The 26449-nt window shown below is 39.4% G+C and overlaps 1 protein-coding gene and 1 long non-coding RNA gene across 8 annotated transcripts in view; one reads left to right on the plus strand and one right to left on the minus strand.

Moving 5' to 3' along the window:
• The window catches only part of ELP3 (elongator acetyltransferase complex subunit 3), a 100922-nt gene that overhangs the window by 67313 nt on the left and 7160 nt on the right, over positions 1-26449 (plus strand). For all 7 annotated transcript variants that reach the window (XM_024447184.2, NM_001284222.2, NM_018091.6 and 4 more), the window contains 3 exons: positions 1024-1089; positions 2685-2912; positions 4453-4534. In XM_024447184.2, the coding sequence (XP_024302952.1) occupies positions 1024-1089; positions 2685-2912; positions 4453-4534 (376 nt within the window). The remainder of the gene's footprint in view (positions 1-1023; positions 1090-2684; positions 2913-4452; positions 4535-26449) is intronic.
• LOC105379343 (uncharacterized) lies at positions 15725-24989 on the minus strand. Its single transcript, XR_949614.3, has 2 exons — positions 24892-24989; positions 15725-20527 (listed from the first exon to the last, which is right to left on the minus strand). It is a non-coding gene; the product is annotated as an uncharacterized LOC105379343 (long non-coding RNA).

Genomic DNA, 26449 nt, shown 5'->3' on the forward strand with positions numbered 1-26449 from the left:
CAACTGAATAATGAGCTCTTATTTTTCTCTTGGAATTCTGTACATATATAGCAGTCCTTCATAAAAATACTATTACTAGAAAAGCTTATGTGACATCATCAAATTTCCCACAGTGATCTTTTCTTACTGGAAGAAAATGTTTATGGTTTGTTCTATGGGGGGGAAATATACCATAAGATATATAATTGAATAATTACAATGATTTATAATAATGAAAAGGATTGTGTAATTGTAAATGTCTGGTAGCATAGCATGCACTGTGGGTTGTGGAATAGAAGTGAGAGCCACATCACAGATGCTTGGCCATGCAGACCAGACATTGCATTGGCATTGTCTGCAGGCAGCTCCATGCCTTCTCAGATATTCAAGAGCCATTTGTGATTGTGCTTCAAAGTATGTAATACATAGCTCTAGGTTCCTCCTCCCTCCCTCCCTCTCTTCCTTCCTTCCTTCTTTCCTTCCTTCCTTCCTTCCTCCTTTCCTTTCTTCCACAGTGCCCTTCTTGCAAAAAAAAAAAAAAAAAAAAGCCATCTTCAACATGTAATTTTTGGATATTCCTAAAATGATACAAATATGGGGATGCTAAAAATGTTAACTGCCGTAAAATGGAGGTTTTAAACATTTAGGAATTTACTTTTTACTCTTTATATACATACTTCTGGATTGTACTTTCAGATAGTTATATCCCCTAGGCAAACCTGTTTCTTACTTTTATGACTTACATTCTTTACTGCTAAGATTATATTATATATTGATCTTTTTCGAATTCTAAATTTATTTTAAAAGCACTACTGTACTACTTCATACATTCCTACTCTGGTTTCCCCATCCTCAGATTCATTAAAGGTGGTTTTATTTTGAAATTCAGCTCTTTTATCTCACTGCAAGTTATATGCAAACTTAATTTTGAGCCCAGGGTTTGGTGGAGAGGTTTAAATAAAAATAAAGATTGAATTGGTTACCAGTTTTATATTTGTACCCCTCCCACCCCCCAACCCCGCTCACGCCATTTTTTTTTGACAGTGTCGAGATGTGAGAACCAGAGAAGTTGGAATCCAAGAAATTCATCACAAAGTACGGCCATACCAGGTTAGTCTCTTCATGTCATAGAGGGCCTAGGTACTGTCCTTAGATCTTTGCCAACCCTGGGCCCACATATTCTTAACCAAGGACAGAGCCCCAGGAGTGAATAACTAAGAGCAGAGACTAATCGAGGATTAGATACCGGTGTCAAACCGTGAAAGCCAAATACAAGAATTCTAGAAGAGCCAGGTTAGGAAAACGAAGTCTGAACCTCATTCTAGATTAGCACTGTCCAGTGGAACTTTCTGCAGTGTTGGAAATGTTCTGTGATCTGAGCTATCCAATATCCAATATGGTGGTGACTGTTGAGCACTTGCAATATGGCTTGTACAAATGAGGAACTAAATTTTTAATTTAAAATAAATTCAATTGTAAATAGTCCCCTGTGACTACGAGCTACATTTGGGAAGAGCATAGTATGATCTGCTTCTCTCTTTATGTGTAACTATTCAGCTGTTGGCCCAATGGTGATAAGCAAATGAATAGATCAGCCCTTACCCACAGGCTCCACAAAAATTAAGCATAATGCCTTAAGGCATTCATGGTATGTAATGAATTAACTTTTCTCTTATACTCTTATAATGTCTAGCTGTATGCCAGATTTTCTGTAGGATTTGATTCTCTTGTGGAACCCCATTTGAGAAAGGCTGGAATAGATGATCTCTGCATTGATATTTCTGTTCTCAGCATGAATCAGTTAATTGACATTTTTCACATTTAGGACCTTTTGAGAGAAAAAGTAGACCCAACACAATTTGCCAGATTCTTGTGCTGTTCAGTTATTTAGCAAACATTGTTGAGAAGGAATATGTGTTAGTCTGAATTGTTCACCTTGCTCTGGGTACCATCTCCCCATCTACCGAGTGTTTCTGCGTGTGGCCATGTCCATATGTATACTTTTCTCTGTGCGTGCAATATTGTTACATATGGCTTCTATTTAAGAAAAGTACAAGAGCCATTTGTACAATGAGCTGAAGAGCCAAAAGCCTGTGCAGACTGCTACCACAAAGCTTCCCCCCAGAAGCTACCCTCCATGACTGAACTTTCTCTAACATTTTTATCCCATAATTATGCATAATATTTAAGTGCCCTGTGGGAGGCCACACTTCCTTGAAATTTCGTCAAGGTGCAGGTGACCAGCATCACATTTTTCTTCCCCAAAGATAGGTTTCAGTGGAGGCGATAAGGACTAGAAGATGAAACCCAAACCATTGAACACCTGACAGTTTTGAGACAAAGGGGTGCTCCTGAGAGCTACGCATGAGACGTGATTTTGAAATTTTACATTAAGAGACTCTTCATGGGGAGTCAAATGCATGGAAGCCTTTACTGAGCTGGATCTCTGTAAGAGTCTCAAGGTTAATGAAGTTCAAGTATTTGTGAAATTATACAGTTATTTTCCTTTTATAATAGTCCATGAACAAGGTGTGAACTTTAATCTTGGTGCTATTTGAGAGTAGACAAGTAAAAAGAAACATAATTAGTGATTATTCATTCCTTATCCCTAACTAGATATTAACCTAAATAAATACATACAATTACAAAAATGAATTTGGTTCTTTAATTTTGAATAATATTTTTTGTGGCTTTTTACTAAATAGGTTGAATTGGTAAGGAGAGATTATGTTGCAAATGGTGGCTGGGAAACATTCTTGTCATACGAAGACCCAGATCAAGACATTTTGATTGGCCTCCTACGATTACGCAAGTGTTCAGAAGAAACTTTCCGTTTCGAATTGGGTGGAGGTGTCTCCATAGTACGAGAGCTGCATGTGTATGGGAGTGTGGTCCCTGTGAGCAGCCGGGATCCTACTAAATTTCAGCATCAGGTATCCTGTATTCCATTTCTATTTGACTTCTAAGAAACTGCCTAAGTAGGAAAAGAGAAAAGGAATGGGGTGAAGAGAAGAGGAAGAGGCAGAGGAGCAGGAGAGGGGAAAGAGAAGCATAGAAACAGAGGAGCCAGTGTTTTAGTTGTTCAGAGATGTTTTCTCTCCAAATTGTATCCTTTTGGGAGGAAAGGATAAACTGAGATTCAGTCAGTTGGAACATAACAGATTGAACCACATGGAATTGGTTTTTTTTGAGACAGAGCCTCACTTTGTCACCCAGGCCAGAGTGCAGTGGCGTGATCTTGGCTCACTGCAACCTCCGCCTCCCTGGTTCAAGTGATTCTCCTGCCTCAGCCTCCCTAGTAGCTGGGATTACAGGTGTGCACCACCATGCCTGACTAATTTTTGTATTTTTAGTAGAGATGGGGTTTCACCATGTTGGCCAGGCTAGTCTCGAACTCCTGACCTCAGATGATCCACCCACCTTGGCCTCCCAAAGTGCTGAGATTACAGGCATGAGCTACTGTGCCTGGCCTGCAGTTAGTATTTTTGAAAGTAAGAAATCGTCTAATACTGGCAATCTCATATGGGTCAACTTATTGTGGAGTCAGGTTAGACAGTAATGGGAAAGCACTTATGAAACACTTCCTAAGGTTAAGCCATATTATACATAGGGGAACCCTATTCTAACCCCAGACAACCTACCTTAATAGCTCACTTTTAAAAATTTCCAGAAAATGTGTTAAAACCTAATGGCGGATATGATATACGAGCCAAAATTGATTATTTAAGAATTTTGCCTGGTTTCTCAACTCTTAGAAAGTAGAGAGGTGGCCGGGAGTGGTGGCTCACGCCTGTAATTCCAGCCCTTTGGGAGGCTGAGGCAGGGGGATCACCTGAGGTCAGGAGTTCAAGACCAGCCTGGCCAACCTGGTGAAACCCTGTCTCTACTAAAAGTACAAAAATTAGCTGGGCGTGGCGGCACGTGCCTGTAGTCACAGCTACTCAGGAGGCTGAGATAGGAGAATCACTTGAGCCTGGGAGGCGGAGGTTGCAGTGAGCCGAGATTGAGCCAGAGTGATCTCGCCCAATGCAGTGAGCCACTGCACTCCATCCAGCCTGGACAACAGAGGGAGATTCCGTCTCAAGAGAAAAAAAAAAAAAAAAAAAGTAGAGAGGTGACTAAGAAATTAAAGACATACTGCCCCAGACTTCCATCATTTAGAGATTGCCTAGAACCCACCTAAAAAGAGACTGAATTTGAGAGGGAATTACTGTCTTCCTGTGAATAGATTACATCATCCACAACATACCTTTTGGTAGTTCTTGTTCAAAAGTTACACCTTTTTCAGTTGTCTGCTACAGTGTACCTTTGGTAGGATTGAATGGTTTCTTTTTCCTTACTCCCATAAGTGGGCTTTTTCACTCTTAACAGATTTTAGCAACTACTAAAGTATATAGCCTTCTTGTTTTATGGACCCCTCTTAATGAACTTCCTTCCTTTTTAATTCCCACTCCCCATTGTTGCTCCGTGCAGGGATTTGGCATGCTGCTGATGGAGGAAGCAGAAAGAATAGCTAGAGAAGAACATGGGTCTGGGAAAATCGCTGTGATATCAGGTAACTGGGGGAGGGCGAAGTTCATGATTCCTTCCCATTTTGAACTTGGCACCACAGTGAAAACTATGTTGGTACCCTCTTGCCCCTGTTGATGGTTATTACGTTCAAAATTGAGCTGAGCTGACTGGCGAAGGACTTGTGCTCAAACAAAATTCACAAAAGCAGTTTAGTGGAATAGAGATTTCCGAGCCCTCTGAGAGTCAGGACCTGTGACCCATATGCCCTCTTCTGCACTCTCTGTCACACTGGTCAGCATGGTCGCCTCCTCTTTGTGCTGTGCCCAGTTACTGTATCTGAGGAAATGGAATTTGATGATATGGACAGGAGAAAAACATGAGTGTTTCTCACTGTTGTGGAGATTATCACTATTGTTCAGAAATTAAAATAGAACCTCAGTTGCCAGTACGAGCTGTTTAAAGGCCAAATTCTTGCTCTTTCAATTTTGTTCTCAGTAACTTCAATCCTGGGGAACAGCTTTCCCCTGTTTGGGAGTAAAAAAGTTTTCCCCAGCCCTCTTAGGGTCCCTGGCTGGGTCCGAAAATTAAACTGACAAAGGCAGATTAACAGGGGAAAAGCATACACATTTATTGCATATAAATTTTATGGAACAGGAAAGCCTTTATAAGGAAATAAAGACCCAAAGAAATGGCTGAACCTGAGTGTTTTTATACGAGTGCAAAGTCATGAAAAAATAAGACAGGACACAGGAGTAAGAGCTAAGGGTGATAAACGGGAATGTTTAGCAAGGCCTGTTCATTTAGATCCCTCAAGGTGCCCCTCTGCCTTCAGAGATGAAGATGTTTGTTTGCTCCAGGTGGTGTGAGGACACCTTCCTCATGAACATCTCATGACCTGCGTCAGGGGAGAAGGAAGGGGAAGGTCTAAGGGTCCTTCCTGCATCTGCCATTTTCTGATTCCTTCACCTTAAGATACTCAGTATGCCAAGACACCGTCTTTTGCGGTAGTGTGTTCTGAACCCCATCAGGAGCTTCCCCATTCCTTATCTAGGACAGCAGGTCACTGGGGAAGTGGGCATGAAAAGGAAAATTCAGTACAGCATGTGTGAGTGGAGCAAAAAATGACGTAGACCCCTTTCACATCTGCTGTTCCATAGTGTATCCTTACAGAAATCGCTGTTCCCATAAGAAGCTAACAGGGTGAGAGCCATGATCAAAATGTAGGTTATTTTTCATCCAGCATGTTTGTTTTCCCATTAGACTACTACATTCCTAAAGCTAAAATACGCCTTCTGAGAAAATCATCTCTTCTGAAAATGAAAGTTGAAATGAGGTTTTTTAAAAAAAAATAAGTTGTTGCCAATCAGTAAATCAATACCCATGCTTGGGTTTTAATGATTATAATTATGAAAATGTAATGACTCAGGCTCACTTATAATCATTTAGTGTGGTTGAGGTTTTTGGCATTATCCAGACAGATTCCTAAAGCTTTTTTTTTTTTTTTCACATGTCTAGCTTTATTTATTTATTTTTTTTTCTGTTATCTTTCATCGCACAAAGAGGTAACTAAATAAGGCTCACTTGATTGGTACTGTTACCTGTAATTAAAAAAGGTTTACTTCTCAACTGTTTAACCTGTGGTTGATCAGAAGTACCAGGCAAGGGCCAGACTGACTTAGAAGCCCTCTGCACATGTGTCTGTGTAGAGTTGATAACACCTGAAATTTCCATGGCCCCTTTTGTCAGAGCACTGTTAGCGTTCTAGTAAAGTGCTTGTGAAACTTCAGTGTGCTTACAAATCACCTGGAGATCTTGTTAAAATGCAGGCTCTGTCTCAGTGGGCCTGGGTGGGGCCTGTGCTCCCAGGTGATACCATGCTGTCTTCAGACCACACTTTGTACACAAGGAAGGCTTTAGTATTCTCTTCCAAGTGTATTCTCTTTTCAGTCACTGAGATAACGACAACGCTCTGTGATCCTTGCAGTGCTACACTCCCAGAGTCTGATAATAGTCAAGTGACTTTCTGGTGTCTGTGGGAACCTAATCAAATTTAAAATGGAAGAGCATGCATATTCCATCACTGCTCTACATCATTTCGTCTGCCTTTATGACATCTGTGTCTTTTTACACTGTTGCATGCAGAGAGGACCCCTGGCTTGCCTGAGGTCATATCCAATTGCTCATAAGAGCCTCAGTTTCTGCTTTTTATGAGCGGGGTGATTTCCATTTTCTAAGTGGAAATCAGCATCTGCCCTCTTTCTGCCATATCTATCTCCCTAGCTTTTTATCATAATCTAAATAATAGCTCAATTTCAGATCATCTGCATGTAGAGTTTCTCAAATAACAAGAAGAGACTTGCTCAAATTAACAGGGAAGAACCTTTCTCTTGTCAGCTGGTATGATAGGTCTACTTCATTTCTATACAAGGGGTTTCTTTTGGCAGTGGGTTTCTCTGGGAACAGCCCTGGAATGCCTTCTTGGGACTCTAGTGAGTTCAGAAGGGAGGATGCCGTAAGCATTACTTCCTGTCACCCTGCCTGGAAGCCCCACCATTGCTCTCTATAGGGGAAACTACGTACGCCTGGACTTTCTGTTTGACTTAAGCTCTGGTCACCCTTCAAATGAAAGAACAAGAACATTTGCTGTCTGGATGATGCATTTTTATTTCTCCAATTTAGTAATCTATTACTGTTCTGTGTAAGTTTCTGAATCAGATGCCGGAGAAGTTAGTCCATTATTAAGAACTTCAAGGAGGGCAGATGTGAAGAGCTTATTATTATATGGTGTTTTTAATGTTGTGTTTTTCCGGTTTTTGCATTTTGACTTTGGTTTCTCTGATGTGAGTACAGTGATGTGTGTGCGTGTGTTTTAGTTTTTTGTAAATAGGCAGTTATTCTCCATAAATTAATCCTTAGAATGAAAATCTCTTTATGACCGTGCTGGTGTCTGTGGGCTGCATTTTGTCAGCGTTACCTCATTGGATTAGCTGAGAAGAGGCACTGATTTGGATGGGAGTGGGGTGGGGAGGACGGGTGGCCAGGATTCCATTCCTGCTTTGCCAGTAGCTCTTCTTGTGATCTAGGATAATTTTACTTACTCTCCATGGGCCTTTATTTCCGTATTTTAAAAAAGTGGATGTGGTTATCTTTTACAGTTCTGACTCTAGAATTCTACCCCTTAGTATCTTCTTTAGTTCTCAGCATGACCAATTATGTTTTCCTAATTAAATTGTAGGTGGGACCTTTTCTGTGCCATATTAAGAGACTCTTTAATTTCATCAATAATAGATCTCGGTCTCGTTGTAGGTTGGGTGTTTGCTGATGAAAATGGCGATAGTTTCCCATAGGTAGTTAATCCTATGCTTTGTGAATGCCTGTTAACTTAGGTCACAACTGGTGATACTGTTTGACCTAAGTGTTTACTTTTCTTCCGACCTTGTCCTCAGTTTGTAAATCCATCCTTGTTCCAGGTCTGTAGGCTTTTGTATAAGTTGTACACAGTGGTGGCCTAGATACTCTGTCCTGGCATAACTAGTAAGCTTGAGTAAGGGAAAGATAGAATCATTTATCATTTTGGTTACTGTTGTGTAAGAGTAATGCATTTAGGTAGAATTTTTTAATTGCATTTTGATTCATTATGACTTCCCTTCATCTTGCCAGATTTTCTCTGTAACTTGGGTTTATGATCTTGGATTCAGCCTCTAGACAATATTATGAACTACACAGTAGATCTGATTTGAGTCACTATAGAAAGACTCTGGGTATTCTTTTTTCTGTATTTAAAAACAAATTGGTTTTTTATCTGTGCTACTTCAGTAGACTTTGTTTATAGGTATATACTGTGTATTTTATAGCAGATTATCTTTTTAAAAAGATGACTACCTTTATGGCTACATGAGAAAATTGAAAACTTTCTCATTTATCAAAATCAAATGAAGCAATTTCTTGAAAAAGAGGCCTTTAGGTTTATTCTGTTTTTTTCTTAGTGAACTGTGTTTTAAAGTGAACCATCAACTCTAAATGTGAAAATTAAACTAAAAATGAAATGTTCAGTTTCATCAGCATCAAAGTCACCGTGTATTGAGGGCTCACGTATGAAATGAAGAGACATATGAAAAAAGAAGATGTGTGAAATGTCACCCTGCCCTGCGTGAACGTTCGTGTTGGGCTATAGGAAACTCACCCACCTTCCCCTCGTTGATTGTCTTTGACTGCAGAGGAAGATAAGTTTTCTCCCTACTTAGACTCCAGATTAGTTCATAACTCAAGATTAATTACTTCACAGTAAGAAAATATTATTTTTTTACATATAAAAATGGACAAATCAGTGTTATGAGAACCACCAGTTTATAAAATAATGTGTAGGCAAGAAATAACAGCTAATTGCTGCTAAATATCTAAGCAATTAATTAGTCCCTATTAATTCCAAGTGGTATCATTTGCCAGCTTAATCCATATAGCTTCTATCAACACACGTCTGTTCAAGGTTAACAAATTGTGTTTACTTAAAAACCACGATGTTTATCTACTTGGGTGATCAGCATTCTTTCCTTTAAAAATGTTAACATGAGCAGTTTTTCTGTCTCCTCTCTTATAATGTAAAGTGCAAGGAATTATACTGGAGAAGCTAACCACAACGTCTGAAATGCCATCACTAATAATCACCGTGGAAACGGAGATCTCTGATGTCACACTGCCTGTACCATTTCCAAAAGGGCAAATAGAACTGTGATAGTCACTATTTAAAAAGCCATTTAACACCCCCAACAGAATGAGTTTTTTTCTTCTGGCAGTTTTGGCTAGGTATCAGATCCAATCGTGTGACTGTTTCAGTTTGCCAAGCTAATTGCTATGCAGCAAGATGACCAGCTATTCCCCAAGCTCGTCTGACTACCTTCATCATAAGCAGTATTCTATTTGTGTCCTTTCAAGTAGAAAATTAATATGGCCATTGGCCAAGAATCGTACAAGGCCGATGGATCACACAGTGATGGTGAAGAATAAGGAAAATGTCTGAATGGTCAATGACAGAAATCACTGAAGTCAGAGACTGATAGCCATTTTGTTTAAATCTATTAAAAAGCCAGAGAAGGGGAGAGGAGAGAAGAATTTAAATATAGGGTGATTAAATGAGTCACTATGGAGATGAAATCATCCTTAATCATGATGGTCTTAGTTATATGACCCTAAAACTACATCACAGTGCCTCCTGGTCAGAAAATAAGTGTACCTGCGCCTTATACAATCCAATATGGCTTTCTAGGACTGCAGTTAATGGTCTTGTTTGCCAGAACCACTGATTAATAAAATCATATGTGGGCAGAAAATAGCAGTTGTTTTGTTGAAGCATTTAAACTACAAATGGCTGAGATTTACTTATTCGACCTTCACCTGTCTCTCAGGCTACTACACATCTCCCTCAGTTTCAGGAGAAGATAGTTTTATTCCTTGCATTGTACTCTAGTTGAAAAGAAGGGTACATTCATAACTACGTTTGTCTGAAAATGGACTCATAATCCTTACCAAAATGCCTGGAAAAGCATTTCTTCATTGTAGCATATCTATTTGCTAATGGACACAGGAAGCCTGCCAAATGCAGACCAGTTTGTGGCACCTACACGAGTGTTAGTCTATGGCTTCTCAGAAAGGAAGGGAAAGAGTGTTTGTCCTTTTGTACTATCTTTGTGACAAATTATCCCCTAAATGTCCCCTAATTAAATGTACATTTTCTGGGTTCTGTATATTCCTCTGTTCCATTTTGGTATTCTAATAAAGATCATATATGTTTCTTTTTTGGTGCATGTTCCAGTAGTATTTTTAAAATCATTATTAATATCTTCTTAAAGACAATGGATACAATATAAAGTATTTCTTTACTACAGGAATTCAATTTCAACATCATTATTAATCAGACTGGAATTGATGATATGGAATACTACTTTGCTAGATAATGTATTAGCTAGGTGTTTGCTTATTGGTGTCTGTTGTAGCTGCACTGTGGCAGCATTGTTTTGTAGCTCCTCCCAGGAATCTGTATTCCATGACTTGACATTTACTCATTTGAAGGTGAATCAGGTACCAGTTTGTAGTACACCGCACATCAAGTGCATTAGACCATCTCTAACTTGGCATCACAGACTATGTTAATTAGTACACATGTTTTGAATATTATTGAATAGGCCACTAATGAGTTTCTACTGTTTGGATCTTGGAGGCAACTGAATTTTTTGTGATGTTTCCCAGCCAGAAGCTAGTGATACTGATTTGGAGTGGCTGATTGGCATTTGAAGTACAGCATTTGGCAAATGCTGTTGCTAATCCCAGGTCCATGCAGTCCAGCCTCTTACATTTCAGAGTGTGCATGTTGAGATCTTGAAGTCCAGCCTTGCCAGTGTAGACACAACAGCACATTTGTAGACTTTTTGTCCCCATTCTTGTTCCTCTTAGTTTATGGATATAGGGAATCATGGTCTTATGCTTTTGCTTAGGAGGAATAGGGTTATATCATGTGATTCCTAATAACATTCCTGAAAGGTCTGGAAGCTTTGAGATGAATGACTACCTTTATTTAAAATTAGACACTTCACAGGCTTTTTTCTGAGGAAGCAAGCCCTCTCCAAAAGTGGCCCAACCTATGCTACTCACTACCAGCTGTCTATCAGAAAGTCTGTTTTAATAGTTTGTTGCAATGTTGACTCCTTATCAATGTAACTTGAATATGAATAGTACTGTTCTTTTCTCTAAATATTTGACATTGCCTTAATTCATTCAATTTGATAAAGCTTTTCTATTTTAGATCTGTTAGAGGCAGAGATTTGGCAGGTTATTCTTTGGGTGAACAGGTATTACTGAATAATGCTGGAAAATATTGGTGCTGCCTTCCTTAGCAGCAACCAAGATACTAGTTTTGTGGAGCCTTTTAGTTTAGAGATTTCTAATTCCAACAGAACACATGCAAGGAATTTCTTATTCTTTAGTTGGCCTGGCTTAAGCTGTTGTCTCTGACCAACAACTCACATTTCTAAGACAGTGCCTGTTAGACATAGAATTGTAGTTTGTGGCCATGGGATCATTTCCTTATGCACCCCATCCTCTAGTCCCTAAGCAGACCACTGTCCACTTGTCCACCATTCATGAATAAATTGCTGGGGTTCAGTAAAGCAGTCCACATGCCCCAGATCTCTACCTGCGTGATCTGTTGCCTCACTGCAAATCCTAATAATTAGTGTTTGTTCTGGTTATTTATTATAACATACCACCCCAAAGTTTAGTGACTTAAAACAACAACCCTCTTATTTCCTTAATGATTCTGTGGGTCAGAAATTCAGCAGGGCATAGAGGGGATGGTTCCTGTCTGTTCTGTGATGTCAAGGGCCTCAGCTGGGGTGGCTTAAATGGCAGCCAGTTGGCTGGGATGGTGTGTCTGAAGTTTCAGTTCTGACTGGGGCTGTCCATATGAGCAGCTTGGTTCTTGTCCACCTGTCTGCTCCATGTGGCTTGGGCTTTTTAATAGCACAATAGCTGGGGTTCTAAGAGGGAGGAGCAAAGGCCTGGTCTTAGAAGTCCTAGAATGTCTATATTAGTTATCTGTCATTGTGTAATAAATTACCCAAAAACTTAATGGCTGAAACAACAAGCATTTTTTATCTCATGGTTTCTGTAGATCAGGAATATGAGAGTGACTGAGCTGGGTGCCTTTGGCTCAACATCTCTAACAAGGCTGTAGTCAAGGTGTCAGCTGGGGCCATAATCATCTCAAGAGTCCATTGGAGCTGAAGGATCCCCTCCCAAGTTCACTGTGCACTTTTTGGCAGGCATCGGTTCCTCACAAGCTGTTGGTCTTGGGGCTGTGGTTCCTCGCCATCCCTCGTGGGCCCATTTATAGGGCTGCTTGTCACATGATGTGACAGCTTGCTCTCTCAGTGGGAGTGATCAGAGAGAGAGAGCTCATTCAAGATGGCAGCCATAGTATTTTTATAACCTAATCTCAGAAGAGTGTTAATGAGTCCACCTCACCCTCAGGGGGAAGGGATTAGACAAGTCTGTGAATACCCTAGGTGGTGAACTTTGGGGGTCATTTTAGAGACTGCCTACCACAATGTATCTTCTGCCTTGTTCTGTTGGTCAGAGTCACTGGGCCAGGCCAGATTTAAGGGAAAAGGAAGTAAATTCCATCTCTGTAAGGGAGAAGGCAGCCATCTTTGGATGCTGTCAGCCGTAGTGGTGGAATACTTCTCCATTGCTTTGTGATTAGTAGGCATTCAGTACCTCTAATGCCTTCTCCAAAGATAGACCCTTTGGGCAGACCTAAATTCAAGAATTCTTGTCCCAACCAGATTTTCATATAGTCAAGCATGGCAACACAATCACACCTCACACTTTCCTAGGTAGAGCTTGGCAGGTCCAACAATACTCAGCCTGCACCTGACCCTTTGTGTGCCATCTCTCTTCCGTGAGGACATGCCTCTCTGTTTCCCTTTGCAACCCTATTTTATACCTGATGCTTTAGGTGCGCGTGCTGGCCATTTATCTTTTTCTTCTAGGTAATGGAACATAGAAGCCTGGTTTTGGGCTGAGGATACATGGTTTCCCTCTGGAGCTTTCCTACCCTTAAATACTTATTTTCCCCCTACAAACACATGGAGAAATTTTATGCATTGTAAGAAAATTTTTTTCATTTGGGGAGTTGATAAATCATAGGTAAAGTAGAATTTGCCATTTTAACCATTTTTAAGTGTATAAATCAGTGGCATTATTTACATTTACAGTGTTGTACGACCATCACCATTATTTCTAAAATTTTTAACACCCTAAACAAACTGTGAACCCATTAAGCAGTAACTCCCAGTTCCCCGCACAGTCCTCTAATCTATTTTCTGTCTCTGTGAAGTGGAATCATAGAGTATCTGTTCTTTTATGTCTGGGTTATTTCACTTACCATAATGTCTTCAGTGCTCATCCATGCTGTAGCATGTCTCAGAATTTGCTTCCTTGTTATGGCACAATAATATTCCATTACATGTATATACCACATTTTGCTTATCATCCATCAGTCTGATAGACATTTCGGTTGTTTCCACCTTTTGGCTATTGTCAATAATATTGCAGGGTGTACAAATACCTGTTTGAGTTCTGCTTTCATTTCTTTTGCATATATACCCAGAAGTGTAATTGCTGAGTCAAATTGTAACTCTATGTTTAACTTTTTGAGGAACCACCAAACTATTTTCCACAGTAACTGCACTGTTTTTCATTCCCACCCACAGTGCACAAGGATTTCAATTTCTCTACATCTTTGCCAACACTTGAGATTTTTCTTTTTTTTTTTTTATAGCCATCCTAGTGGTATAAAATGGCATTCTGTGGGAGGTTTGACTAATATTTCTGTAATGATTAATGATGTTGAATGTCTTTGTCATTTTTATCTTCTTTAGAGAGATGTCTATTTGGGTCTGTTGCCCATTTCTTAACTGGATTGTTTGTCTTTTTGTTGTTGAGTTGTAGGAGTTCTTCATATTTTCTGAATATTAGACCATAAAATATTTGCAAATGTTTTCTTCCATTCTGTGGGTTGCCTTTTCACTTTCTTGATACTTTCCTTTGATGCACAAAAGTTTGTAATTTTAATGAAGTCCAGTTTATCTGTCTTTTGTTATTTGTGTCTTTGGTATTATATTTAAGAAACCATTGCCAAGGTGAAGGACATAAAGATTTTCCTCTCTGTTTTCTTCTAAGGGCTTTATATAAAGTTATAGCTCTCAAATTTAGATCTTTGACCTATTTTGAGTTCATTTTTGTATATGATATAAGGTAAGAGTCTAATTTAATTATTTTGCATGTGGATATCCAGTTTTTCTAGCACCACTTGTGAGAGAGACTTTTCTTTTCCCATTGAATGCTCTTGACACCCTTGTCAGAAATCAGTCGAAAAGAAAAGTGAAAGTTTATTTCTGGGCTCTCAGTTCTATTTTGCTGGCCTATATGTCCATCTTTACATCAGTACTATGCTGTTTTAATCACTGTAGCTTTGTAGTAATTGGGAAGTATGAGTCTCCAACTTTGTGCTTCTTTTTCAAGATTGTTTTTGGCGATCCCGGGTTCCTTCAAATTCCATATGATTTTTCACATGGCTGTTTTTATTTCAGCAAAAGCCACTATTGGGATTTTGATAGGGATTGCATTGAATCTTTATATGGCTTTGGGTGGTATCATCATCTTAACAATGTTAAGTCTTCCAGGCCATGAACACAGGATATCCTTCCATTTATTTAGTCTTCTTTAATTTCTTTTAGCAAAGTTTTGTAGTTTTCAGTGTGCCAGTCTTGCACCTCTTTGCTTAAATTTATTCCGAGATATTTTATTCTTTTGATGCTATTGTGAGATTTTTAAAATTTTGTTTTTGAATTGTTCATTGTAAGCATATAGAAATAAAACTGATTTTTCTTCCATATTGATTTTGTATTATGCAACTTTGCTAGATTTGTTTATTAGCTCCAATAATATTGTATGTGTGTGGATTCTTTAGCATTGCCTACATATAAGGTCATGTCATCTTGAATAGAGATAGTTTTACTTATTCCTATCCAATTTGGGTGCCTTTCATTTCTTATTCTTGCCTAATTCCTCTGGCTAGAACCTTTAAGTACTGTGGTGAAAATGGGCAACCTTATCTGGCTTCTGATCTTAGGGGGAGAGGTTTCTGTTTTTCACAATTGAGCATGATATTATTATCTGTGAGTTTTTCACATATGGCCTTTACAATGTTAAGGAAGTTCCCTTCTATGCTAATGTATTGGGTGTTTTTATCATGAATGGGTTGTGAGTTTTGTCAAATGCTTTTTCTGCATTTGAGCTGATTGTATGATTTTTTTTCCCACTTAATTCTGTTTTGGTTTATTACATTGATTTTTGTGTGTTGAACTATCCTTGCATTCCAGGGATAAATCCCACTTGGTTGTGGTATATAATCCTTTTAATATGCTGGTAAATTCAGTTTGCTGGTATTTTGTTGAGGAGTTTGGCGTCTGTATTCTTAAGGGGATGATGGTCTATAGTTTTCTTTGTAGTGTCTTTATCTGGCTTTGATAACAGAGTAATGCTGGCTTTATTAAATGAATTATAAAGTGTCCATCCTCTTCAGTTTTTTGCAAGTATTTGAGAAGGATTGGTATTAATTCTTCAATTGTTTGGTAGAATTTACTAGTAAAGTCGTCTGATTTTGGGCTTTTTCTTATTGGGACATTTTTTATTACTGATTCAGTTTCTTGTTATGTATTTATGTAGACTTTGTTTATGAGTCAGTTTTTATGTTTCTAGAAATTTGTTTCATCTAGGTTATCTAACATGTTGGCGTACAGTTGTTCATAGTATTTTCTTATAGAATTCTTATTTCTGTACAGTAAGTAGTTATGCCCCCTCTTTTATTTCTGTTTTTGTGATTTGAGTCTTCTCTTTTTTAACCCAATCTAAGGTAAACATTGCTAGTTGATCTTTTCAAAGAATGAACTTTTGATTTTGATTTTTTTTTTTAATTCTCTATCTTCACTCTAATCTATTATTTTCTTCCTTCTGCTAGCTTTGGGTTTTGTTTGCTCTTTTTTTTTCTAGTTCCTTAAGGTGTAGAGTAGGTTATTGATTTCAGATATATCTGCTTTTAAAATCCCAAATGTGATCATATGTATCTGCTTTTTTCATGTGAGCATTTACAGCTATAAGTTTCCCTCTGAGCACTGTTTTTGCTGCATCCTATAAGTTTGGAATGTTGCATTTTGTCTTTCATTTGCTGAAGGTGTTTTCCAATTTTCCTTGTGATTTCTTCTTTAGCCCATTGGTTGTTTAAGAATGTGTTAATTTCTGCATACTTATGAGTTTTCCAGTTTCCATCTGTTATTCTAGTTTCATTTCTTTGTGATCAGAAAAGGCATTTTATATAATTTCAGTCTTTTTAAATTTATTAAGACATGTTTTCCTGACCTGACATATGATCTATCCCGGAAAATGTTCTGTGTGCACTTATGGAAAATGTACATTCTGCTATTAGTGGTAGCATGTTCTATATATGTCTGTTAGATTTAAGTGGTTTAAAGTGTTGTTCTAGTTCTCCCTTTCCTTATTGATCTTTTGTCTTAATTTTTTTATTAATTGTTGAAAGTGGATATTGAAGTATCCAAGTCTTAATGTAGAACTATTTATTTCTCCCTTAAGTCCTGTCAAGTTTTGCTTCATATATTTTGGGGCTCTGTTGTTAGGTGCATATATGTTGATAATTGTATAAATCTTCCTGATCATTGAACATTTATCACCATATAATGGTCTTCTGTCTCTTGTAACCTGTTTTGACTTAAAATTTGTTTTGTCTGATAATATAATCACTCTATGACTCTTTTGGTTATTAGTTGTTTTCTTAGTGGTTACCTTGGGGATCATAATTAACATTTTAAGCCTCCAGTCAGTTTGAATAATACCAAGTGAGTTTTAATAGTATGCAAACACTCTGCTCCTATACATCTCTGTCCCTCCCCCTCTGTATTGTTATTGTCACAGATTACATCTTTTTACCTGTGTATCCATTAACCTAGACTTAAAATTATTGTTTAATGAATTTGCCTTTTAAATAATATAGGAAGAAAAGAGGAGTTACAAACCAAAAGTGCAATAATACTAGCTTTTATGTTTACTTATGTAATTATCTTTATTAATATTCTTTATTTCTTCATATGGTTCCAAGTTACTGCCTATTCTTTCAATTCAGGTTGAATGACTTCCTTTAGCATTTCTTATAGGGCAGGTTTAGTAGTAATAAGCTTCTTTAGCTTTTCTTAATCTGGAAATGTCCTAATTTCTCTTTTATCCTTGAAGGATAGTTTTGTTGGATATAGAATTCTTGATTGGCAGATTTACTTTTTTCTTTCAGCCAGCACTTTAAATGTGCCATCCCATTGCCTTCTGACCTCCATAGTTTCTAATATCAGTTGTTAGTCTAATTGAGGATTCCTTCTATGTGATGACTCATTTTGCCTCTTGCTGCTTTCAAGATTCTCTCAGGTTTTCAACAGTTTGACTCATATTGTGATCATTGTGGATCTCTTTGAGGCTATCCTGCTTGGAATTTGCTGAGCTTCTTGAATGTATAGATTCATGTCTTTCAACAAATTTGGGAAGTATTCAGCCATTTCTTTAAACATTTTTTTCTACCCTTTATGTCTCTCATCTCCCTCTGAAACTCCAGCAATGCATATATTGGTATGCTTGATGGTATCCCCCACGTCTTTTATTTTTCTACATTTTTTCTTTCTGCTCCTCAGACTAGATAAATTCAGTTGCATTATCTTAAAGTCCACTGATTCTGTCTGCTGCCTCCTCTTAACTGCCATTGAACACCTCTAGTGAATTTTTTATTTTTACTATCATACATCTCTGTGCCAGAATTTCTATTTTTTAATATAATTCCTGTCTATTGACATTCCTTTTTGATAGTATCCCCTTGATATCCTTTCTTTGTCCATGGTTTCTTGTAACTCCTTAGGCATATTTAATACAGTTGATTTAATGTCTTTGAGTAGTAATCCCAGTGTCTGGATTTCCTCAGGAATAATTTCTGTTGAATTCTTTTTTCCTGTGAATGAGCCATTCTTCCCTGTTCTTTGTATGCTTTACAATTTTATATTGAACTACTGAGAACTACACAATTAGTATAATGTGGTAACTCTGGAAATCATTCTTCTCTTTCTGAGGAGTTGCTTTTGAGGTCTGTAATCATGCATTTGTCTAGTGACTTTTTTTTTTTTTTTTTTTTTGGGGAGTCAGTCTTGCTCTGTTACCCAAGCTGGAGTACAGTGGCATGATCTCGGCTCACTGCAACCTCCGCCTCGCGGTTTCAAGCTATTCTCCTGCCTCAGCCTCCCTAGTAGCTGGGATTACAGGCATGTGCCACCAGGCCTGGCTAATTTTTTTGTATTTTTATTAGAGACGGGGTTTCACCTTGTTGGCCAAGCTAGTCTCGAACTCCTGACCTCAAGTGATCCACCTGCCTTGGCCTCCCAAAGTGCTAGGATTACAGGCATGAGCCACTGCACCCGGCCCTGTCTAGTGACTTTTCCAAACTATTTTTGCAAAGTCTGAGTGTTCTTCATTGTGTGTGTAGTCACTGAAATTTCTGTTCTTATCTCTATGATCAGCCTGTGACCTGAGAGGGATTTTTCTTAAATGTCTGGTTCAAAAAAAGAAAAAAGGATGTGTATCTCTTCAAATCTTTTGATACACTCCACGAAGGAAGTGAGATGGGGTCAAAACAAAGACAAGTGTCTGCACTGGTCCTTCCAGGAACCTCCAAAGTGAACATAATACACAGCCCTATATTTTTGGAGGACTAGGTCCTTATTGCCCACTCCAGTTCCAGCCAGCTGCTCCAGGAAAATAAGTTACCATTCCTGTGGCTACGGTGGAGCTAAGGAATGGGGGATGGTTGGTGGCTTAAGCATGCTGTTCCCTGAGTGAAGTTTTACAGCCTCTCCCTCATCAGACACTCCCCTAGTCACTGTAAGTATCTTACCAAGTTCCAGCATTCCAAAATAGTTGGTTGCAATTATTTTTTTTCCAGCGTAATCGTCGTTTTAGCAGAAGGATGAATCTCTGAAAATTCCTACCTTGCCATTTTCCCTCTTGAAGTCTGTATTTAAAGAGACTATAAATAGAAGGGGTCCCTCTTCCTACCAGGTTATAAGATGGTACAGTCTAACTTCTGCAGAGACACACTAATGATTTTTGACATGAGTAAAGAAGTGAGAATGATGTGTGACATAGCAAACATCCTGCACTGATAGAAACAGAGACCCTCTATTTTTGAATCAGTTGATTGTGGGCCATCCTATGTCACATCATAGGCCAGACTCCCTGAAAGAAAAAAACTCTCTAAGAGCTGTAAGATAACCCACCAGCATCACCCAACTGTAAGTTACCATGGTAGTATCTATTTAGATTCTGTATACCTCCTTTGTAAATTACCTAATTTTATTCTTTGTTCTTATCTTGGTAGCCTTTTCAAAATGTGTAGAAGAACCTTTAGGCTGCTGGGTAGGAGACTCTCTTGAGGTACTCTGTATTTCCACAGTGATGGAGAATAATGTATACTGTGTTAGTTGCAATAACCAGTTTGAAGAACTAAGATTATACATGGGTAACCTTTGTATGATTTTTTTTTTAATAGAATGGGGAAAAAATTCTGAAAGGTTTAGGGTCGTGTAGTTAATTGGTTCATTTTCAAACATTCAGGATAGAAACCTTTTCCCAACTTTGATATCAGTGTACATTGTTGAAGAGTAAAATATCGCCATCCTGGCAGGAGATCAATGAGAAATAATAAAGTCTCATTTCAATAGCAAGTGAATGAAACTAATGAATATATTTCCTTGTGTTAATGTTGGTAGATACATCAAGTAGGCAATAGTTGATTAATTGAACCCAAAAGCAATTAAAACAGTTTAATTTGTTTTTATTTCACTGATTTCTTTTAATTAAACAATCATAAATCATCTGAATGTTTTGCATCTAATCAAAACAGAAATTTGAGCTTTAAAGGATAGATTTACAAGTTTGGCTGTGAGAATGTGATGTGGGCTCAATTTTAATTCTGTCTAAGAACACATTACTAGCAGTGAAGGGTGGCCTATGTCCTAACAAGTAAGCATCAAAGAACAAGAATGCACCTGTAATAGCTAATTCATTTTCCTGCTTCAGACATGAAAACATTTAAATTATTAAGCCAAGGTTTTTCTTAAGGAATTCCAAGAGATAAAACTCTTCAATTTCCAGGCTCCTAGTACATACTGAGCAAATACTTGATCAATTAAACTTATTTCTTCCTCTGTTACATCACATTAATAATTCCACGTTCATTCTTTATCCAGTTGGAATCACAACCCTGGCTCACTTGTTTTTCCATAGATGTGAAGAATTGATTTCATTCCCCATTTAAGCAGTCACATAGTTGAGATTATTTAATCTTGCCTTCTTTTTCATTTTAAAAGTTTACTGGAAGCTGTAACAAATAGCAGAGTTTATAAAATGTTAAATAACACCTGTATGTCTTAGCTCACTCAGGCTGCTATAACAAAACTGGGTAATTTATAAATGAGAAATTTCTCATAGTTCTAGAGGCCTCGTGACCTAATTGTCACCCAAAGACCTTACCTCTTAATACTATTGCATTGGGGATTAAGTTTCAACATACGAATTTTGTGGGGGATACACATTCGGACCATCGCACTCTCTAACCCCCACTTATGTCAATAACCAGCATCCAAGAAGTGCCTCTGTTGGCCCTTCCCTCTTCCTTCCCAGTATCCTAACTTTTTTGGTATTTTCTTCGTAAGTATGTATCCCTTAACTACATGGTCTAGTTTTGTTGTTGCATATTTTTGTTCTGGTTACTTTTGCTCAACATTGCTGTAAGATTGAGTCAACGTTGTAGTAGCTGTATTTCATTCCTTTTCATTGATATATGGGATTCCATTATGCTGATAGTTCACGATTTATCCGTCTTAACTCTTGCTGGGTTTCCAGGTTAGAGTTATGAATATTCTTGTGTATGTATTTTGGGACACATAAGGACATATTTCTGTAGAATGTACACCTAAGAGTGCAATTGCTGGGTTGTAGAGAGTACATAGATTTAGCTGAGGATTCTGCCAAGTGGCTTTCTAAAGTGCTTCTACAATTTTTCACTACTACAGGAAATGTATGAGTTTTAGTTGTTCCATTCTGATGAATATGAGTGGCATTTCTTTGTGGTTTTAATTTGCGTTCCCTGATAACTGATGATTTTGACTACCTTTTCATGTGTTTACTGGCCATTTGGAGATCCTCTTTCTGAAGTTGCTGTGTGCACATGTGTGTGTGAGTTTTTCTAAAATCCACAAGATATCATTATTATGTACAGTTAGTATTCATTTAGATTTACTGATAAAATTGACCCTTAAACAACACAGGTCCACTTATACTCGGATTTCTTTCAACCACACACAGATTGAAAACAGTGTTTGTGGGTTGTGAAACCTGCGTATACAGAAGGCTGACTTTTCATAGACGCAGCTTCTGCAGGGCCAACTGCAACACTTGAGTGTGTGCAGATTTTGGTATATAAGGGTGGTCCTGGAACCAGCCCCCCACATATAACAAGGGCAACTGTATATTTACCACTTCTTTGCTCTTCTATCTTTGCTATATCTTCAAAGTATTTTCTTCATTTTCATTGACATGTAGGACTCCATGATGTACTACAGTTTATCTGTTTTACTGTTGATGGATATTTCGGTAGTTTGCACACATTGTTTTCTTTATACCTTTAGTTGGTAGCAAGTTGTTCCAGTTTTGGTTGTATACAAATGTCTTTACTTTGCATTATTATTAAAGCAGTGGTCCCCAACCTTTTTGGCACCAGGGACTGGTTTTGTGGAAGACAATTTTTCCACAGATAGTAAGGGGGTTGGGGTGATGGTTTCAGGATTCAAGTGCGTTACATTTATTGTGCACTTTATTCCTATTATTACATTGTAATATATAATGAAATAATTATATGAATCAGTGGGAGCTCCAAGCTTATTTTCCTGCAACTCAGCAGTCCCATCTGGGGATGATGGGAGGCAGTGACAGATCATCAGGCATTAGATTCTTATAAGGAGCACACAACCTAGGTCCCTTGCATGCGTAGTTCACAATAGGATTTGTGCTCCTTTGAGAATCTAATGCCACTGCTGACCTGACAGGAGGTGGTTACTGCTCCTCAGGCAGTAATGTGAGCAATGGGGAGTGGCTGTAAATGCTGTGTGGCCTGGGGGTTGGGGACCCTTGTCTTGTCTTCACTAGGTATAGTATTCTGGGTTTGCAGGTATTTTCTTTCAGTACATTGTATCTATCTTCCCCTTATTTCCTGGCTTTTAATGTTGCAGGTAAGAAATCAGCTGTCTGTCTTTGAGGATATTCCCTCAGGCTACTTCTGTGGTTTTTTAGAAAATATATTATTTTTATTCTTTCAGACTGTCTTGGTTTTTCTCTAGTTTTACTAGGATATTTCTAGGTTCTAGGTATGGATTTCCCGTTTGGGCTTCCTTGGGCTTCTTTAATCAGTGAACTGGTTTTTAAAATCAGTTCTGTGTGATTTGCAGCCTCTAACACATGCATATTGACTCTATCCCATTCTCCCTCACCTCTCTTCCTGTGACTCCAGTTAAACATATTTTAGACATATTTATTGTATCCACTGTGTCTAATACCCTCTTCCCCACCAACGTTGCTTTGTTGTCCATAATTTCTTCTGACTTAATCTTTCAGGTTACTAATTTAGCTGTGTCTGATCTGCTAGACCCATCCATTGATGCATTGGTCCCACACTTTAACATTTCCTAAATTTCTGGTATCTTTTTCCATTCTGTAATGTCATCTTTTAATGTTTCCAGTTGTTTTCAGACATTGAACATAGTAAGCATACCTGTTTGCAGTCTGTGTCACGTGATGTCACATCTGGAGTCTCTGCTGTTTCTTGTCATGTCCTGTCTTAAAGTGTACCTCATCATTTTTTATCATTTGCTGAGCATTTTATATGAGAATTTGCTTTCAGGAATACTTCAAGACCTAGGTGATGCTAGCTTCCTCCAAGGAAGACCTGTTTCCTTTAGCCAGGCATCTCAGAGTCGTAGTTGTCTAGGACCAAGGCTGTGGTTTATCTAGAAGATTCCTATCCCCACCACACCAATCCCTCCTCCCAATTCAGAGCCTTTCAGAATACAATCCAGAAGAGGGGGTGCTATGCTTGGGTCCCTGTCTGTGCCAGGCTCTGAATTCAGACCCATGTTGCATCTCCTTGAGCCTCCTCAAGGTACGGAAGCAACTCTGCCTCTCAGTTGCTTCCACACCTCCTAAACAGCAGGGCACTGGGGGAGTGTTATGACTGCTTCTCTGCTTCTGGTGGCCGCAAGACACTGCCCCCACGCCCCCAGTATCTCACGTGCCCTTCCTAGATCAAACACTTCTACTCCCCTCTGGAAGCTCACATTTTCTCCTTATTATTGGCCTGACAACTAAGAGCTCTTAACAGTCTCTGATACTTTCCTAGCAGAAACATTTTCAATTTTGTCTAATATTTTCATTGTCTTTGGCTGGAGCGTTATTCTTAATTTTGTCTGCCATAATCAAGCCTGAAGTCATCTGTTCACTAAGCTTAAATACTCACGACTCTTCTGCCCTGCCTCTAGCTTCCATCATTGAACCTTCTTTGTTGTTTTCCTCCAAACTCTGTATTGTAGTGCTTGTCATTTTAGAAATGGTGACTGCAATTTATCAAGTTGTTACTGAAAAGTATCCCCCTTCCCATTCTCACATTTGTAAGCTGAATCTGTTTACAAAGTTTATTATTGCCTGTTATCAGACCCTTTTCTGTGATTTATTCTTCAGTTTCTTACTAAGCCATATTGTTAACAATGGAAATAGCCACCATGTTTGTTTCATCTAATGAGTTATCAAAGGACATTGAAAAACTGGACACAGATACAGGAGGTGAGGTGATCAAGACAAATGGCAAGTTCTTTCTTTACCAGAAAAGAAGGGATGTGCTTTCCCACGAAGACTAGAGGTGCAAGACCAGAGTCAGGGGAGTTGAGTGGGCCTACCCCATCACATAGGTGCCAGGCGCATTAGAAACGCTCTGGGCCATGGGGTCAGGCAGGCTGGGTCTCAGTTACTGTTCTGCTTCCCTATAGTGTGGCCTTGAGTTATGACCCATTCTGAAACTCATCTTTCTCCTAGGACAATAATTGCAATCTTGTTACATTTTAAATAAATTAGTGCATGGAGAGGCTTTAGCAATCCAGTGCCTGGCAGGTATTTAAATCTCCCTCTAACTTTATAGTCACTTAGCTATCAAGTGGTTTTCTTTGTTTGTTTGTTTGTTTTGAGATGGAGTTAGAATCACAAGCTAGGTAGCACTTAGGTTCATTTCCTGCTCTTGATTTGTGATTTATTTTCCCTTTTAGAGGAAAGGTATACTTATTTTTAGTGTCCAAAGGCTTTACTCTGGTATTGCATTTATCCCCTTAGAACAGAAGGCTGCAGTAACTTGGAGGAACAAAGAGTTGGTTTTCAGTGAACTCAGGTACCACACAGACTGGCTTACTCTATCTCCCCACTCTTTCCCCTACAATTTCTCTCTAAAATAGAATCACAGCAGAATTTAAGTAAACATCTAGGTTTGCGGCCGGGCACAGTGGCTACACCTGTAATCCCAGCACGTTGGGAGGCTGAGGCACATGGATTGCCTGAGGTCAGGAGTTCGAGACCAGCCTGGCCAACATGTTGAAACCCTGTCTCCACTAAAAATACAAAAAATTAGCTGGGTGTGGTGGCATGCACCTGTAATCCCAGGTACTCTGGAGGCTGAGGCAGGAGAATCGTTTGAAGCTGGGCGGCAGAGGTTGCAGTGAGCCGAGATCACGCCATTGCACTCCAGCCTGGGTGACAAGAGAGAGACTTCGTCTCAAAAACAAACAAAAAAACCACATCTGGGTTTGTTCTCCACCCACCCCCCCTTTTTTTTGGCCTTTGGTTAGTCTAAGGTTGTGTGATTTGATTTCCCATTTTTACTAAAGAGCATTGAGCAGCCCAGGATGAGCGTGCTCCTGCAGCCAGAGGCCCAGGCTCCGGCATATGCATTGCCTGTGATTTTCCCCCTTTCCCGAATCCTTTGAGTTAGCAGATTAAGCCACGTGGTGCGTATCTTTTGGAGAGGGACATGGAATCAAAGCAGAGGATTTCTTTCTCATCATGAGGGGCTTGAGGACATTTGGTTCAGAAAAGGATCAGAGAGATGCTGTACCCCTGGGTCTCCTCCGGGTTGGAGATTCACAGGGAGGCCAGGGGCTCTTGGCAGCCAGCCTTGGAGCAGTAGCCAGAGGTCATCCTTGGGAAGGGGGCTTTCCCACTGAGTGCTGAATAACTCTACTCCTCTCGGCCCATCCCAGAGCAAGCAGTGTCCTCTGCCTTTAATGTAACCCCTTTCCATGGGTCTATCTATAATTGATCTAAAGTGTGTGCAGTGGAAGTCATTTTAATAACTTACATATAGTAAAGCTCGTGTACAAATAAACAGGCTTGTTTTCTTCTCCCCAAAGGGGTGGATGTCCTGGGGCAGAGGCAGAGGGGAGGCCACCACAGAAGCTGTTCACTCTAGGCACTTTGCAAGGTATTCTTTTTTCACCTAACTCATCATCATTGCTGGTTGAATGGGGAAGATAAAATATTTATCCTGCCTACAGAGTAGGGAAAAGGTCATGTAGGAAAGCTCAGGGTGTAGATGAGTGAACTTGGGAGGATAAAACAAAGCCAGTGTTTGGACTCCCCCAACTCCTGCCATTCTTTCTTGAGAGAGTCTCGCTGTGTCCCCCAGGCTGGAGTGCAGTGGCACGATCTCAGCTCACTGCAACCTCTGCCTCCTGGGTTCAAGCAATTCTCACCCCTCAGCCTCACGAGTAGCTGGGATTACAGGCACTCACCACCACACCCAGCTAACTTTTTGCATTTTTAGTAGAGACAGGGTTTTGCCATGTTGCCCAGGCTGGTCTCGAACTCCTGAGCTCAGGTGATCTACCCTCCTCAGCCTCCCAAAGTGCTACAAAACAAAGCCTGCGTTTGGACTCTCCCCACTCCTGCCGTTCTTAATGCTGGCTCTGTAGCAGGGCACCCTGAGGCCGCTGCATGGAGTGAGTTCCTGCACATTCCCCATCCCAGGGATTTGGCAGAACCCCACGCAGGCCATCGGGTGGAGCACTTGGTTCCTTGTACAGCCTGTGGGCGCCTCTCCTCTGGCGGAGGCAGAGCAGTTAGGCTGAGGGCTCGGAGACGGTCCAGGCAGCCTGCATGTCAGTCCAGGAGGGTGGCTGACGTCAGCTCTGAAGGATGATTGCTTTTTCTT

The sequence above is a fragment of the Homo sapiens genome, chromosome 8 (assembly GCF_000001405.40).
Source record: "Homo sapiens chromosome 8, GRCh38.p14 Primary Assembly".
NCBI lineage: Eukaryota > Metazoa > Chordata > Mammalia > Primates > Hominidae > Homo > Homo sapiens.